General features: G+C 37.0%; 1 long non-coding RNA gene and 1 pseudogene across 1 annotated transcript; both read left to right on the top strand.

Moving 5' to 3' along the window:
- OR10D4P (olfactory receptor family 10 subfamily D member 4 pseudogene) lies at positions 4,629-5,925 on the top strand (annotated as a pseudogene).
- LOC105369545 (uncharacterized) lies at positions 12,565-17,004 on the top strand. Its single transcript, XR_948127.3, has 2 exons — positions 12,565-12,979; positions 16,721-17,004. It is a non-coding gene; the product is annotated as an uncharacterized LOC105369545 (long non-coding RNA).
- The last annotated feature ends 1,445 nt before the right edge of the window (positions 17,005-18,449 follow it).

Here is an 18,449-nt window from a genome sequence, read left to right as displayed (position 1 = left end):
ATTCCACCTGTCACAGTGGGAAAGCTGAAGCCAGGAGAGAAGGGAAGAATGATGGTGTCCCCCACTAGTTCTCTGTAATCTTTACCCTTTCTCTGTCCCATATTGAGAGCCTAGGTCAAGTACACCATGTCATCATTTAGTTGTCTATATGACTTTTACTATTGTGCACAGTGCTGTATGCATTGCAAGGTTTTGTGAATGAATATTAGTTTCTAAAAAATTAAATTTCCTACTGGATAATTTTTTTTTACATAACTTTCCTAATGTAACCTTCATCTGTTGAAGAAAATTGAAATCCTGAGTACATGGTTTTGCTGTGTAAAGTTAAATGAAACGAAAATTTAAAAATTTGTATTTCTTTGCAATCAGTATATTGAAGGGATATCTGCTTGCTCATGTTCATTGCAGCACTATTCACAATAGCCAATCTTTCAATCTCTAAGTGCCCATGAGTGGATGAATAAATACAGAAATTGTGGTATATCTACATAATGGAATATGATTCAGCCTTTTTTTTTCTTTTTTCTTTTCTTTTCTTTTTTTTTCCTGAGATGGAGTCTCACTCTGTCACCCAGGCTGGTGTGCAGTGGCGTGATCTTGGCTCACTGCAACCTCCTTCTCCCGGGTTCAAGCAATTCTCCTTCCCTAGCCTCCTGAGTAGCTGGGACTACAGGCACATGCCACCATGCCCGGCTAATTTTTGTATTTTTAGTAGAGACAGGGTTTCACCGTGTTGGCCAGGATGGTCTCGATCTCCTGACCTCGTGATCCACCCACCTTTGTCTCCCAAAGTGCTGGGATTACAGGTGTGAGCCACTGTGCCTGGCCGATTCAGCCTTTAAGAAGAAGGAAATCCTGTCATTTGTGACAGTGTAGATGACACTGAAGGATATTATGTGAAGTGAAATAAGCCAGGTACAGAAAGACAAATACCACATGATCTCACTTGTATGTGGAGACTAAAAAAGTGAAATTCTTAGAAACAGAAGAGTAGAATGATATAGTAGTTATCAGGTGGGATGGGGCAGATGTTGGTGAAAGATACAAAATTTCAGTTAAACCAAAGGAATAAGTTCAAGATATCTAATGTACAGCATGGTGATTATAGTTAATAATGTATACTTAAAAGTTGCTAAGTGAATAGATTTTAAGTGTTCTTACCACAAAAAAAGTATGTGAGGTAATACACGTTAATTAGCTTGATTCAGCCATTCCACAATGTATACATATTTCAAACCATCATGTTGTACACTGTAAGTATATACCAGTTTTATTTGTCAATTAAAATAAAGCTAAATTTTATTAAATATAAATATTTAACATGTTCAAGACACATATAGAATCTACATTTAACACGAAAATTGATCAAACATTGAATCTTTGCTTTAAAATGCAGACAAAATACAACTTGCAATGACACTTTTGTTGCTTATGATAATTGAACTGTAAGCAGTAATAAGAAAACTTTTTTTTTTAGACAGAGTTTCGCTCTTGTTGCCCAGGCTGGAGGGCAATGGCGCCATCTCTGCTCACTGCAACCTCCACCTCCAGGGTGCAAGCGATTCTCCTGCCCCAGCTTCCCATGTAGCTGGGATTACAGGCGTGCGCCATTACGCCCAGCTAATTTTTGTATTTTTAGTAGAGATGGGGTTTCACCATGTTGGCCAGGCTGGTCTTGAACTCCTGACCTCAGGTAATCCACCCTCCTTGGCCTCCCAAAGTGCTAGGATTACAGGTGTGAGCCACCGCGACCGACCAGAAAACATTTTAGTTACTTTATTGAAGTCTTTCCTGCTGTGATCTGATCACTATTTCTTCTGTAACAGGTATTGTCACTGAGAACATTTGACCTTTGGGAACGCAGAACATGAGTGTTTTTACTGTGACCATCCCATTAATTTAGCACGTGCTATTTTTATTCTAAAACATTCTATTTGGAGATCTAAAATAGTCCATGGCATTTGACTTCCCTGAATACATTTTTTACTAGACCAGGTAAATTTCATGAGCTGTTACTTGCTAGTTAAAAGTTTATTTCCTCTTTTTTTTTTGGTACAAACTATTTTTTCAAGTTAGTCATGTTTCAAAACATTAAAGATAATCAAAGATAAATAGAATGGCAGAATTATTGAATTTTCTACTCTTGTCATTTGCTAGATGTGCAGCAAAACAGTTTTCTTTTCATATAAAAATTCCAGATGTATTTGGAATAGTGCAACTACCTAAACATTCCTTAAACACTGAAACTTTATGGCCAAAATCCTAAAGAAGACACCAAATCTAAACTCCCTCCAAGTTAAGAAAGTGATTTAACTTCTTTGACCCTTACTTGCCTCATCTGTAGAGGACTTCACCAGAGTTTTGAGGTTTAAGTAAAACTGTAAAATATATTTTTCTTCCAGATAGATTATACGTTTTTTGAGCAGAGAGACAATGTCTAAGCCACCTCACCTACCCTCAACCTTTCTCTCTCCTGGCAAATAATCAATGCTGACAGATGACTGGCACTCAACATTTGTTAAAGTAAATGTATATATAAATAAACAAATGAAAGAATGTATTCAATGAGGAAGTTTGTATTCCACCTCAACCCCTAATATGTATTGAGTATTGAAAGTATTTAACTCAGAAGCTTTAATAGATGTCAAGTAGTATAAGGACAGATACTACAAGTGATCGCTTAACATTAATTTTGAACTCCCAGCATATTTCTTCCATCTTTCTTCTGGCAATAGCCCCTTTCACTCCCCGCTGGAGAACTGCCCATCTCCATCCCACCATAATCTATACCCTGCTCACAGAGATAGGCATGTGACTCAGCCAAGGAAGTCAGATTCGAATCTTGGGGTGAGGCACACAGAAGCAAAGGCAGCTGAGGTAGAACTGGCTGATGGCGGTGCCCTGAGGTTGCTCCATGAATTCTAACAGCTAAGTTCCCTCCAGCTGCCCTACTTTCCACCGTTCCTGGGCCTAGTTTTCCATTAGTTTCTTTAGTTCTCTAAGCTACCCCAGTTACTGTTGCTTGCAATAGTCAATTCTGTCAATACTATGTAGCAAAATAAGGTATAATTTATTTATTAAAAAATAGTATATACATATGAAAAGCAGTAAATATAAAAATACACAATAAATATGTGTGATATATATGTCAAAGGAATGTTTAAAAATATTCTTCCACAGAGGTATATTTTACAAAGGAAATGATAATAATCAGGCTCTCTCTCTCTTTCTCGCTCTCTCCCTCTCTCTCTTCTCTTCTCTCATTCATTTCTAAGGTGTAATTATACCAAGTAGTTAATTGCTCCCTTGCTTAAAAAGTTCCTTGAGTTGAGGGATTAATACCCCAGGGAAGACCAAGGTTATTTAAAATGTCCTGTATTGAGGAATGATTGCAGTTCCTAGAGTTAGACAGGAAATTACTGTAAGGCAGCTGTGCATATTTAGATTTGTGGCATTCTATTTGAAAGTGATTGAAAAAAAAAAGAATTCAAGTCATCTACTTGTAGACTCTAGGCTGATGGGGATTTAGGCACAAACCTTCCTTCTGCTGGGGAAGGAAAGGAAGACAACATTCACAAGTAACAGCCAATTATGTTCTCTGTTTGCCATGTAAGTGCACACATTTTGCCCTTCACTTTTTATCTTGGCTTTCACTGCCTTCCTCCCTTCACAATCTACAGGAAAAATGAGAGAGACAGAGAGAGAGAGAGAGAGAAAGGGAATCATCTTAGGTAATAGAATATATGGGTTGATCTATAATTTATAGATCTCACTGCTGAAAAAAATTAAAACAAGTAGAAAAATATATTAGATTTTTTTAAAGTGTGAAACTTGGAAAGGAGTCTTTACTACTGCTACCCCTGTACCTTCTGCTGCCACAAAATTAGGATGTGGCTTAACTTGGGTCTGGTTAGACAATTACAGACTTTGGAGACAGAAATGAAGTCTACTGGTTACTCATGTGCACTGAATTCAGGTGACTGCAGAGGATAAGGAACTTGTTATTGTAATTTTCTGTTCATTAAGAGCTATCTGAGATCCTTCTTTTGAATAATGTCTCACTGTTGATCCTCATGGCCAGGGAGACAATGAGGGAAAGATATTTTATGTTTTGTATATGTCTTACAGAATTATAAATAACTTTTGGAGAGTTACCATAACCAAATTGTATTAGATGAATATAAGAAATTTGGATGAGACCTTGTTATAAAGACATTAAGTATTTACATTTGTCCTTTTAGAGCATATATAATTTATGCTATTTAATGGTAAATATGAAGAATGGCAGCTACAAGACTAGTCGTGCAAGGCTTCTTGGTAAAATTATTAAATGAGAGGCATCTGCAATTAGAACCTGCACTGCAGTCTTCTAACTTATAAGTGGGAGCTAAACAATGAGCACACGTGGGCGTACAGAGTAGAATAACTCTAAAAGTCGATTTGGGTGGGAGGGGGTGGTGAGGGAAGAAAAATTACTTATTGGGTGCGATGTACACCATTTGGGTGATGAGTATGCTATAAACCCAGGCTTCAGTACTTGGCAATATATCCATGTAACAAAATATATCCATGTAACAAAAATGCACTTGTGCCTCTTAAATCTGTAAAAATGAAAAGTTACAAACAAGAAAAGAAACCACTGCAGAATCCAGTACAGAGCAAAGCAGGCAGATCAAGATGATTCTACCAGGAAGCATTCCTCTGTAACTATCTAGATCTCTTTCTTCTTTTCCATTTCATTCATCTAAACACAGGTAATTTACATGCATATTAAATTTAACCACTTATTTCTTTTCACGGACACCCAAGAGTTGATTCCTCCCCAGGAATGAGAAATCACACAATGGTGACTGAATTCATCCTTCTGGGAATCCCTGAGACAGAGGGCCTAGAGACAGCCCTTTTATTCCTGTTCTCCTCATTTTATTTATGCACCCTCTTGGGAAACGTGCTTATCCTTACAGCTATCATCTCCTCCACTCGACTTCACACTCCTATGTATTTTTTCTTGGGAAACCTCTCCATCTTTGACCTGGGTTTCTCTTCAACGACTGTTCCCAAGATGTTGTTCTACCTTTCGGGGAACAGCCATGCTATCTCGTATGCAGGCTGCGTGTCCCAGCTTTTCTTCTACCATTTCCTAGGCTGTACTGAGTGTTTCCTCTACACAGTGATGGCCTGTGACCGCTTTGTTGCCATATGTTTTCCTTTGAGATACACGGTCATCATGAACCACAGGGTGTGCTTTATGTTGGCCACGGGGACCTGGATGATTGGCTGTGTCCATGCCATGATCCTAACTCCCCTCACCTTCCAGTTACCTTACTGTGGCCCTAACAAGGTGGGCTATTACTTCTGTGATATTCCTGCAGTGTTACCTCTAGCCTGTAAGGACACATCCTTAGCCCAGAGGGTAGGTTTTACAAATGTTGGTCTTTTGTCTCTCATTTGCTTTTTTCTCATCCTTGTTTCCTATACTTGCATTGGGATTTCCATATCAAAAATCCGCTCAGCAGAGGGCAGGCAGCGGGCCTTCTCCACCTGCAGCGCTCACCTCACTGCAATCCTTTGTGCTTATGGGCCAGTCATCGTTATCTATCTACAACCCAATCCCAGTGCCTTGCTTGGTTCCATAATTCAGATATTGAATAATCTGGTAACCCCAATGTTGAATCCACTAATCTATAGCCTTAGGAATAAGGATGTAAAATCAGATCAGCCCTGAGGAATGTATTTCCCAAGAAAAGCTTTGCTCTGGGAAATAAATGAGAACATTTAAAGCTTTGCTGGATTTAAGATTTTGATTACATTTTGAAGTTTGACTCTCCACTCCCTGAGAAAATTTCCCATCTGCTGCTGCCAAGGCAAGTTGAAACGAAATGTACTCCAAATCAATCTACTACTTAACCTCGCTCTTTTAAAATATCTGTCTGTTGGTGTATTTCCCTATACTTTAGAATTAATTTTTTTTGACTTTTGGAGGGCTTAAAGATAGGAATAAGAAATAATGTGTAATTGCTGCACTCCAGGCTGGAGTGCAGTTGCGTGATCTTGGCTCACTGCAACCTCCTCCTCCCGGGCTCAAGCGATTCTCCTGCCTCAGCCTCCTGAGTGGCTGGGATCACACCTGGCTAATTTTTGTATTTTTAGTAGGGCCGGGGTTTCACCATGTTGGCCGAGCTGGTCTCAAACTCCTGGCCTCAAGTGATCTGCCCGCCTCGGCCTTCCAAAGTGCTCGGATTACAGGCATGAGCCACTAATCCCGACCTAGAATTAAATGTAACTAATAGAGTAATTTAGCAGACATTGCACCTTCCTTCCTTCCTTCCTTCCTTCCTTCCTTCCTTCCTTCCTTCCTTCCTTCCTTCCTTCCTTCCTTTCTTTCTTTCTCTTTCTTTCTCTTTCTTTCTTTCTTTCTTTCTTTCTTTCTTTCTTTCTTTCTTTCTTTCTTCTCTTTCTTTCTCTTTCTTTTCTTTCTTTCTTTCTCTCTTTCTTTCCTTTCTTTCTTTTCTTTCTTTCTTTTTCTTTTTTGACAGGGTCTTGCTCTGTAACCCAGTCTGGATTGCAGTGGTGCAATAATAGCTCACTGTAACCTCCATGGGCTCAATTCTTTTGTAGTAAGGATTCTGTTAACACCACTGACACACTCCTTCGCCCCAAACATTTCTTTGTTCTTTAAACCTTTGAAAGAGTTAAGAGAACACATTTGCTTTCTCCTATCATAGTCCCGGTTAAAAGTGCATTTACATATGTGTGTGTATATATATATGTATACATATATGTATGTATGTATACATATATATATATATAAAGGAAGGAGAGAAGGAAAGGAGAGAAATCAGAAAATCCTACTTACTGCAGATTATAATCTTTAATTTTCTGCCAATCAATATTAAAACTCAAAGTAACTTAAGTACTGTTTAAAGTAATCCTTCTAGTATTCAGTCTTGTGTGATTTCAAGATTTTTCTAGCATACAGATTCCTTTGGAATATATATATTTTCCTTGTATTATTAAATTCCTGGAAGGTTATGTGTACTTTTTTCTCAAAAAAAAAAACTTAATTTAATTTAATTAAAAAAGGAATGTAGATGTATTTCTGTGTCTGTCATAGAAAGCCCATGTTAGAATTTTCATTGAAATTCAGGTAACAATAATAAATCTGTCCACCTGAGAAAGAGTACATTTCTTTTTTTCTCATAATACAATCGATTTATTTTTCTTCTAATCTCTGTGTTCCATAATGCTGGGGAAAAAGTAGGTAAATCTGGCTTATGGAAATAATGTTACATTTTATAATGAATGTATTCTTGTTTCTCTTTTCCTGATTTTGTTTTCTGTTTCTTCTTATATTTTACTTCCAAGTTGTCTGCCTTTTCTTTTAAGCTACATGAAGTCCTTTTTGTAAAGAAGCAAAGGACAGACAAAAAGAAAGATGGAAGGAGGAAGGAAGGAAAGAAGAGAGGGAGAGAGAGAGACAGAAAGAAAGAAAGAAAGAAAAGTAAATAGAAAGAAAGCTATATTTAGAGCTAAAATAGTACTTCATAATGGAATGATTATTACCTTCCTTCTCTTACCTTCAATTCCTATCAACACAGGTGATTGAACATCAGTTCTCCAAGTGGAAACTATAAGCCATCACACTGAGCCTGCATGAGCTATTAAAATATGTTAAATGAGCCCCAGTGAAGGCACATTGGTGACAGGTGATTTGTGATGTGCTATACAAGAACCTCTAAGATGAGATAACCGTAAGTGTACCTCACAAGCAATCAGGTAGTCAGCTACTCTATCTAGAAATAAAATAGACTTATTTTATTTATAATCTAGTTACTCTATCTAGAAATAAAATAGACTTATTTGTTCAATTTCAAGAAGTCTTTGTAACACTGAAGTTCCTTCCAGATAAGTAATAGTTGGATTGTAATATTAAACATGTCGAATGTTAAAATATAAAATATAAATAATGGCTTTATTTCCCTTTATCTCTCTAATATAGACATTGAAACAGGTAATAACTATCCATTACAGCAAGGTTGTTGTAATTTTAAATGTTCTGTTAACCAAGACACATAACAGTCACTCCTGTCTTCAATATCCATGTTTTCTTTCCTGGCCTTCTCTTTTTGGCAGGCAAGTGCTGAAACAGCCATATGTTTCACAACCTCCACTCTTCTGTCTTTTAACATGCACACATACACACATACACACTTCTGTTTTAAGCATGTTGCCACTTGTCACTACAAAGAAACAGATGGCAATACTGAAAAATAATAATCACTTGTAAAGTTACAATGGTTTAGAAAATCTCTTTGAATTTTTCCCTGACAGTTTCCTCTAATGTGTATTAAAATGTCATTCCAGCTCTTCTCTCCCAGTTGCTTCACTTTTCATCCACGGCTCAGGTTTACAGGCTAAGCACCTGGATTCAGAAATTTCTTTAGTTAATGGAAGAACCAAAAGTAGAATCCAGGTCTTCCGATTTTCAGTTCAGTTCTCATTTTACTTCACAAACTTATAATGCCAAGTGAGAAATGTATGGATAACCTTGATGCAACATAAGTTTAATTAATCTTTGCACAAGTCGTAACAGCAATAAATATACTAAATAAAAATAAATATTTTATTGTAAGAATGTATCTGTTGAATCAGAATATTTATTTATTCTAATATAAAACATTGACAGATTTTAAAAATAAAAAATTTAACACAAAAGAAATAATTTCTAGTTTTTCTGTTCTGTTAAAGCATTCCTAGAAGTTTCATCAAATTGACTTTTAAAGATTTAAACAATTTCAGACTTACAGAAAAGTTGAAAAGGTAACATAAAGTCCATGTATATTTGTTACTCACATTCCCAATGTTATCAGCATATTGTATTTGTTTTATCCCTTCTCTCTCTCATTCTCTCTCTAATCCTTCCCCCAATATTGTGTGTGTGTGTGTGTGTGTGTGTGTACACTTTATTCTGAACGAGTTGCAATCATGTGGTCCTTTTCCCCATATCTTACTTAAAGTTTATTTCCTAAAACAAAGGGTGTCCCCTTATATAACTATAATATAGTTATCAAAACCAGGAAATGAATATGGATACAATACTATCATCTAATCTACAGGTATTCTTTAGCTTTTCCCAATTATTCTAATAATGTTTTTATAGCACAAAATGTCCAGGATTATATATTGCATAATGTTATTTATCTTTTTTTAAAAAACTGGAATAGTTCCTGAGTCCTTTGTATTCCAGGACATTATTGTTTTTGAATATTTTAAGATGGGTACTTTGTACAACATACATCAGTTTGAGTTTGTCTAATGTTTTCTCCTGATTAGATTCAGGTAATGTGTTTTTGACAGAACCAACTCCAAAATGATGCTGTGTTCTTTCTAGTATATTATATCAGGAGGTACTTGCTGTGAATTTGTTCCATTACTAGTGAGGTTAATTTTTATCATTTGGTTAAGGTAGTGTCTGTCAGACTACTCAACCATAAAGTGATTATTTTACCTTCCTAATTAATAATGATTTTTTGGAGGGATGGAAACTTTGCAATTATGTACATATCCTATTACTTCTCAATTTTATCTGCCAGTTTTAGCATCCATAGATTATTCTTGTCTGAATTATTATTATAATTGCCAAATAATAACTTTCCAAATTAATTATTCTTACCACATTAGGTCATTGGTTTTCTACTATAAAGAAGATCTTTATCTCTCCCTCTATTTATATCAAATGACACTGTAACTAATTGTGATATCAATCTTTCTGCTCTGTCAGCTGGAATCATGGGATAAGATGATTATACTAGGATATTATCTCTCATCGGAGGAGGAATATCCCTTTTTAAGAAAGGAGATGTAAAAAATATTAAAGGGAGATCCTTCCACTAAACTAGATGACTTTTAAGTTACCTTCCAACTCTGAAATACTAATTCTGTGATTCCATATGGCTGTCTCATAACAGTAGAATCTCTTACATCATTGGAAAAATGGAAGCATAGACAGAGGAAGAAATGGCATATGGGAAGCCTGGGAGGGAGGGGGGTTAGGAACCTTTGTAAATCAGCCAACAGATAAAAACAAGTCCTCTTTCACTTGCTTGGTACCTGCCAGTTGTAAATATTAAATATTAAATACTAGGCAATAACGGCAGTCAAGCAAATAACAGGATTTATTTGTTTTAAGAAGAGACACGATCAGAATATATTATAGAGAGATCACCAACATTTTTCAAGACAGGAGATGCAAGTTCCCTGGACCCAAATCTCACCATTGAACACAGGGCTGTTCATGAGAATATAGGAATGAATAAGTTTACATTAGAGTCTCTGGAAACATCATTCACTCCCCTCAGACTGTATATTAGAATATAAGGCTTGACCATTCCTGTATGTATGTGTTGCCAAATACCTCAGCCAGGAGCAGTTATACCTCATCAATCTCAGCATTATACAAGTACACAATATGATTATAGAGTGCACAGTAAACTCACACCGTGACGAAGTCCTAAACCACTGCTTTCGGTCTCTGCAGTCTACAGCATTTGCTATGAAAACATTTCTGAATTAGGTGCTGCAGAATTAGAAAATGAATCCGTTTCCCAGAGTTCTTGGGAAATCACATCAAGAATTCCAACGTCCATCTCAATCAGGACTTTATTTCAATCTATACCTTTACATCATCCAAAGGTGTTTAAAAATTTCAGTTTCTACAAAACATAATTGCCTTGCACTCTATACTAGTCAAAAGGCCTAAGTCAAGTGCACTGGGAATAGAACACTTTTTTTTGTTGTTTTGTTTTGTTTTGAGATGGAGTCTCGCTCTGTCGCCCAGGCTGGAGTGCAGTGGCGCAATCTCGGCTCACTGCAAGCTCCGCCTCCCGGGTTCACGCCATTCTCCTCCCTCAGCCTCCCGAGCAGCTGGGACTACAGGCGCCCGCCACCATGCCCGGCTAAGTTTTTTGTGTTTTTAGTAGAGACGGGGTTTCACCATGTTGGCCAGGATGGTCTCGATCTCCTGACCTCGTGATCTGCCCGCCTCGGTCTTCCAAAGTGCTGGGATTACAGGCGGGAGCCACCGCGCCCAGCCCAGAACACTTTTAAAACGTTATTTCTTTGTCCATTAAAATCTTACTAAACTTTCAAGGTTTTCTGTAAATTATCACCTTCAGCACATGATATGAAATAACCTGGTCTAAAACTCACTTAAGTGGGCAATAAGTTAAATGGCAGACCCCGAAACAGTTTTTGGACATTTGTGGGAGATGGGCACTGAAGAGGGTGTGATACAACCGAGCGTAGAGCAAATCACCTCTGTAGAATGAAAGAGATTTTGTCTGGAGAGAATACAAAACCATAAACATGGCTTGCAGAGTTATGAATATAGGGTCCCCTGATTATGAGTTAGAATAACTGTACTTCCTTTATAATTGGTGTGTCAGAAACACAAGGCTCAAAAGGACTGGAAATTAATAGGTTAAGCATATACTGAATTGCATGTTATTATTCAGCACTTATTTGTTGACATACTCTGTACAATAGTTAGGATCTTCGAGCACAGAGGTGAATAAAATGAACACGGGCCCTACCTTTAAGAAACTTACATCAAAGGAAGAATGGAGCCTTCAGTAAAACTTGGAGACTATGATGTCACCGCTGTAAATTTCTAAATATTTCATAAAAACAGGAATACCTGACATTTATTTACCAAAGAGAGAAAGAAGTATCTATAGGTAAATTATTTCCCAGGATATGGCAGGCTTATACCATATGTATCTCTCAATAAGATATTACTGGCAGTTGAATTCTAAATCCAGACTCACTGTTTATGGGTTCCAGGCAACCTGCACAGACTGACTAGTATCCGGACAGGATGACATCAAGATTTTTCTCCTTTCTCTCATATTGTCTCTAGAAGTTACACTCCTAACTTCCAGACCACTAGTTCTCTCATATAATTTTCGCAGTAGCAGTTGGTTGAAATTATACCATGTACTGGGTCCTGGGAATATTATTTTGCTTGAAATGTTACTACATGGCTAGGAATTTTTTTTATTGTTTTTTACTATTTTAGATACTAGGTTGGTATTGTGAAATTCATATATTTCCACTTGGGAAAGCGGAAACTAACAAACAGCCTTTGAGTTGGAGCATTCAAGTTTGGAAGTACTAAAAGGAGGCCCACCCTATTTCATCAAGAGAAAGCCCAGAGGTTAGCCACGGAAGAAGGACCTGTGGCCTCAAATAAGGCACTCAGCCTTAGAGTAACATGAATATAAAATTGTGGAGGGAGAAATGTTGGACTTGTAATTCTTTGGACTTTAATATACAACAAAAGGATATTTCATATTTGTATTTTAATTTCTTTCTGAAAATTTAATACAAAAATTCATATTTAGAATTTATATTTGTGTGTGGCTTAATTTTGTTGGCATTATATTATTTGGCATATTTTAACACTTGTGAATGTTTGTTTTACAGTTTTTTCTTTTGGGCTATATCGAATGCTATGACTAGACAATTTGTGATGAGAAATAGATTAGACAATGCATTTTTGGCTGAGAGTGAAGTGTGTCCTTGATATTAAATCAATGTACACTGTGTTCTGAAGAGAGCCAAGCAGGGCATCCTGCTGGCTGATTCCCGCAGCTCTCCCTGGGTTGCCTGGCAACAAGCTGGCTGAAGTCAGAGTCGTGCTTTTCCCCCAGCAGTGGAGAAGGCAATCTGAGATGCTGCTGGTTCCAAGGCTTTAGAAGAAGAGAGAGAGGATTTTCCCTTGCATTCTTAATCCAGTTTTATCATTAATGATACTAACATTTTGATCCAGTTGGATCTTTATTTCTATTCATCAATATTTGGTACACAGAGACGAGGAAGTGGGCAGAAAGGTGACTGATTAGGCTCCCTCAGCGTACGTTATCACATCATTCTATTCCCAGGTTGCTATGGTGCTTCCTATAATCCAAGTTGCTTATAGGTAAGTGAATGGATTTATGACTAGAATTCAGTAACCATGTTTAAATTTCTTCCTAACCTCAACCTAATATGTATAATAAAGCATGACAAATACTTTCTAAAGTGCGTACCAACCTAAGCTTTATGCTGAACACACTACAAAGAAGGTAATCTATCAGTTGTCAGAGCCTCTTAATAAGGCTCAAGATGTGGTACTGCCTGCGGTAAATGAGCATTTCCCTTCTGTCTTCCATCTTTAGAATAATGACTTTACATCATGCGAGATGCCCAAGGCAGAAACTAAGAGCGCACCTCTACCTTTTCACACTCCCACTCGGCCAATCATCCATTCAGTTCCATTACTCTATTTTTGAATCTTTTTTTGTATTATCATCCAGTCTCCCTATCAATTGCTCCCACTTTGTTTCACACCTTGATCACACCCTGATGTCCTCTTAAAAGGAATCCTAGCCACTACACTGGCCCCTGTCCAGCTGCCTGTCCACACTGATTCATATTATAACATATTTTTAAAACACCATCTGATTACATTGCTCACTGGTGACTCTTCACAGCCTGGAGGATGAAGTACAAACATTATAGCATATCGGGTAAGAATCTTTATCACCAGATCCTGCAGGCCTTTCTGTTCACATGCCCGTGTATGAAACTGAGTTGTGGCTTCTCAAACACACTGTGCTGTGGGACCAAGAATTGTTGATAAACCTCTACTAAACTCTTCAATCTGGACTGCTCTCAAATGGTGTCTCTTCCATAATCCCGATGGAGAAGTTGATTTCTCCTTCATTTCTCTCTAGCTTGTGAGTTACTGACGGAATTCCTTCAGCAGCATACTTTAGAGACTGTGGGGAATGCAGACCTGAGTTGAATTCCCAGAAACACTTCTTACTCGCTGTAGGGCATTGGCCTATTACTTGAACTCCCTGAGCCTCAGTTTCCTCCCTTTTGGTTCTGAATAATACACCTCCCACCTCCCCTCATGTGGATATTGGCAGCATGATGTAATATCTATTAAGTACATCACAATGCTGGCTCATAGAGCTAAAGCAGTAATTTTTAGTAATTTAATTCCCTCTCCTTCTTAGCTAAGTTAGGAGATTCTTAATGAAATTGTAAATCTTAAGCACTAGTACAACGCCTTAAGCACCTAGTACAATGCCTAGTACAATAATGAGTAGTCAATAAAGTAATGAAATATTACTAATAAATACATTCATAAGCCACTGTCAATTAACAAACATTTATTGATTAACTATGATGCTAAAGAAAATTAATCTATGTGCTTTCAAAGATACAAAGCAACTTGAAATTAGCCTTGGAAGGACAAGAAAGAATTATATAAAATGGTCATAACTATTACACTACGACACAGGCCAACTAAATAGCTCTGACAACAGCAAACATGGTCTCCAATTAAAACTGATTTTACAAAGACATCATAACCATGTTTCAGTCCAAAATTAAAAGTCTTATTATCACCAAAGTTTATAATAAGAACAATCAATCTATCCATAATAGAAACTATGACTACAGAGGAAAAAAAAATCTCCAAAAGAAGATCAAATTTATTTAAATTCTCAAATACTTGGAGAGATTTGTTTCCTTTAAAGCAAAAGTAAGTAGAAACCAGGATATCTATAAAAATCTGATGAGATGTTTTGTGAGTGACTTTTCTTTTTCTGTAGATCCTAATAAAGACACTTCCTAGTCATTATGTGTTCTCACTGAGACAGTGTTCTTATCTTCTCCATAATCCTTTCCAATGTATTTCTTTTATTTTTAATTGACAAATAGTAATCCTACATACTTCTGGGATACAATGCGATATTACAATATAGGTAGACACTGTGGAAAAGTAAAGCAAGCTAATTAACATATTTATCACCTCACATAATTATCCATTTCTTTGTGGTAAGAAAGTTTAAAATCCACTCTTTTAGTGAATTTGACATATGTTATAATTAACTATAGTCACCATGTCACTCCATTACGAAAATTTATTCCTCTTATCTAACTGAAAAGTTGTATCCTTTAACCAACGCCTCTCCTTTCTCCATCCACCTTCCCCATCCCCAGCCCCATCACTCCAGCCCCAGTAACCAGTATTCTAAGCTCTACTTCATGAGTTTGGCTTTTTTGGATTCCATTTATAAGTGAGATCTAGGACTATTTGTCTTTTTGTGCTTGGCTTATTTTACTTAGCATAATGTCCCTCAGGTTCATCCATGTTGTTGCAAAGGACAGGATTTCCCCCCTTTTTGAGGCTGAGTAGTATTCCATTGTGTACATATACCACATTTTCTTTATCTATTCATCCATTGATGGATACTTAGTTTGTTTCTATATCTTGGCTATTGTGAATGATGCTGCAATGCATGTGAGCATGCAGATATCTCTTCAACATACCGATTTCAGTTCCGTTGGATACATACCCAGAAGTAGAATTGCAGGATCATGTGGTAACTCTATTTTTCCCATAATGGCTGCATGAATTTACATTCCCACCAGTAGTGCAGTATGCAAGTGTTCCCTCTTCTCCACATCTTTGCTAACACTGGTTACATTTCATCTTTTTTATGATAGCCATTCTAATCTGTTGATGCTCCTATATGATGAGGTGAGTTTAGAGGTAGGAAAAATGTGTCTTCTCCCTATGCATTTTTCTTCATCTCATGAAAGAGTCTGCAGTTTTAATAAAATCAGATCAGCACAGAGGTCAGCATGATATGTAGAGGGAGACAGAAGCTAAGGGTGGGAGAATAGGGAAGAGCGTGATTTGCTGGTTTTATGAAGATTTATAAGGTGAAAACATATGGAAAAAATAATGACTCTATTCAAAGAGTTTCCTCTGGGAAGGGTGCTAATGAGGATTATCTGAAATTAGAAAGCTCAATTTAGAGACAGATATATAAAAAAAAAAGAATGCCTGCCAATCCAAGTTATAAATTAGCAACAGTTTTTTATGGCTTTTCTGCTTGTTGTACATAAAGGCTATTTGTTTAGAAAGATTTTTACCTTAAGCAAAATATTCCTTTCATTGATATCTTGTGTCGATTCTTCTTTAAAATGAGAAATCACACAGTGATGTCTGAGTTTGTTACTGTGAATGGCTGAGGGCTGGAGATTGTATTTCATTATCCTGATTATATCTTATAAATTTTGTACCCTTTTGGGAAATGTTATATTCAGGACCCTTGTTTGTTCCTTGGGATTTCACACATCATGCATGTATTTTTTTCCTTGAAAAATATCATTGTGATTGGCATGAGTTTGTCTTCAATTATTGCTTTACCTTCAACGCAGAAATGAGCCATCAATGTTCAGGGTGCTGCTGTCCATGTTTTCTCCTTTCCTTGCCTGTACTGCCCCGAGATCTTCTTGCATTCACTGACACAGTGCCACCCTTTTATTGCCATTGGATATCCACTGCAAGGTATGCACACCATTACACACAAACTGTATATACTGCTCACCACAGGGCCCTGGAGAGGCTGCTAGCTACATGTCAATCTCCTGATGCTATATTAGGCAGCTACCCTAATCCTGTGCCAACGAAGTTATGGCTGTCATTCCCATCACATTCCTGAAGTCAAACTGTGACCTATGCAAGCATATACTAAGCCCTATGCCGGTCTCTCTCTCTGTCTCTCTCTTAGTCTCTCTCTCTCTTTCTCTCTCTTTTCCATTATTTCCATATCTTATATCTGCAATGAAATTGACATACCAAAAATTATCTCTGCAGACAGTGTGCATGGAGCTTTCTCAACCTGCCTTGCTCACCTCTTTGCTTTCTCAACCTGCATTGCTCAACCTGCAGTCTGCAACTCTTTGTGGCCATGGACAGAAGCTCAGACCGAGAGCTCTCTGCGATTCTGTGATTCAGAGACCGAACTTGTGTGTGACCATCTCCTTGAACTCCTTGATTTCTAGCCTGAGAAATGAAAGTGTGAAACAAGCTTCACATAAAATATTTAAAGAACAAACTTTATTCATGAAAATAAATGAGAAGATGATGAACTTCTAAAGGAATTTTGAATATTCTTTTCTTAGCAGCTTTCAAAAAAACTTCGCATTAAATAGTACTGTGTCTTTAACTTCATTCCTAAACCCTGTATCTTAGTATGAAAATTTGCTAGTACCCATGCTTTTAAAGTAAATATAGCTTATGCGCATAGCAGATATTAAATTGCTATTTATCATTGGATTTGCCTGCAAAGTAAACAATTTTTGGTCCTTTTCTGATTTCTACGGAAGAAGCCTTGGAAGAGAACCTATATCACTGCAAAAACATCCACTAAAAATCATAATCTCCCTTACGTCAGAACACTGAATCTAAACATTTTTTAGAAGAAAGCTTACTCAAAATTAAACATTTTTCAATTTCTGTACATGAATAAAAATTAAGAAGATTTTCTGCATAAGGCAGGATTCCTTTTTTGGAATAAAGCTAAGCTATATAGAGAAAAATTCACCTCAATTATCATAATGATATTGCATCTCTTTGTGTTCATATGGTGAGAATTATCTTAGATTATCTTTGATCCAGCTTTTTTTTTCTATTCGTAAGAGGAAAATTCAAGGAATGTTGTTTAAATAAAATATTGGTTTTTTTTCTAATGCATGCTGACTTCTGTTACTGAACTGCTGGCCTGAGGATTTCATCAAAATGTTAAAGCATCCAGTAGGAGGCAATTGAAAAGTGTGTGACTCACTCTTAAGCCTATTGCTTATTTTTATGTACAATAAGGAGGCAGAATTGAAAGGGAGAATGTAGAAAAGAAATTGATAGTGCTCTGCCCAATAAGGCGAGACACTAATTCCATGGTGAGAGAGGCAATCTTGCAAATTATCACGGCTTAAACTATATGTTTCTTCTCATCAACACAGGCTTTACTGATTCTGAAAAATTAATGTTTTCCCATGGGAGATTTGTAAGGCTAAGCAGGTGGCTCATAGGTAGCAAAGAGGAATATTGAAACAAACTGGTGGAAGTCAGTGCTGCTGGATGTAGCGTGATGAAGGTCAGGGTGAAATTCAGTCTCATGGGTAGGGATTAGGCTTTCTAGAAATTTGATTACTAGTTATAGAAACGGGTTAGAAGAAGAATTTTCAGAACGATGTGGGCATGAAGGGAATGAAGCAAGATTAAACACTGGGCATATCTGATTCTGCGAAGGGTTTAACATCTTGGGTGAATTTTTCATGAAAAAACGAATATTGCAGTGTTTATTTTATAGAATTCTCTGTATCACACCTATTAAAACATCTGGTATATATTCACAACCCATGGGTGATATTGTGAAGGATGAAGAAAAATAAACATGAGGGGGAAGTGCGGTCCGTTTCACTGAAGGGAGAGGCCTCATCAGCTGGACTGTCAAACTCATCTACGGACCCAGAGATGTCCAAATGGATCACACTACCTAGATGAAGAACCTGCTCAACTGATCATAAATGAGGCATATTTTAAA

This window comes from Homo sapiens, chromosome 11 (assembly GCF_000001405.40).
Source record: "Homo sapiens chromosome 11, GRCh38.p14 Primary Assembly".
NCBI lineage: Eukaryota > Metazoa > Chordata > Mammalia > Primates > Hominidae > Homo > Homo sapiens.
Note: the sequence above shows the minus strand (reverse complement) of the source record. Positions and strands in the feature narration are given on the sequence as shown.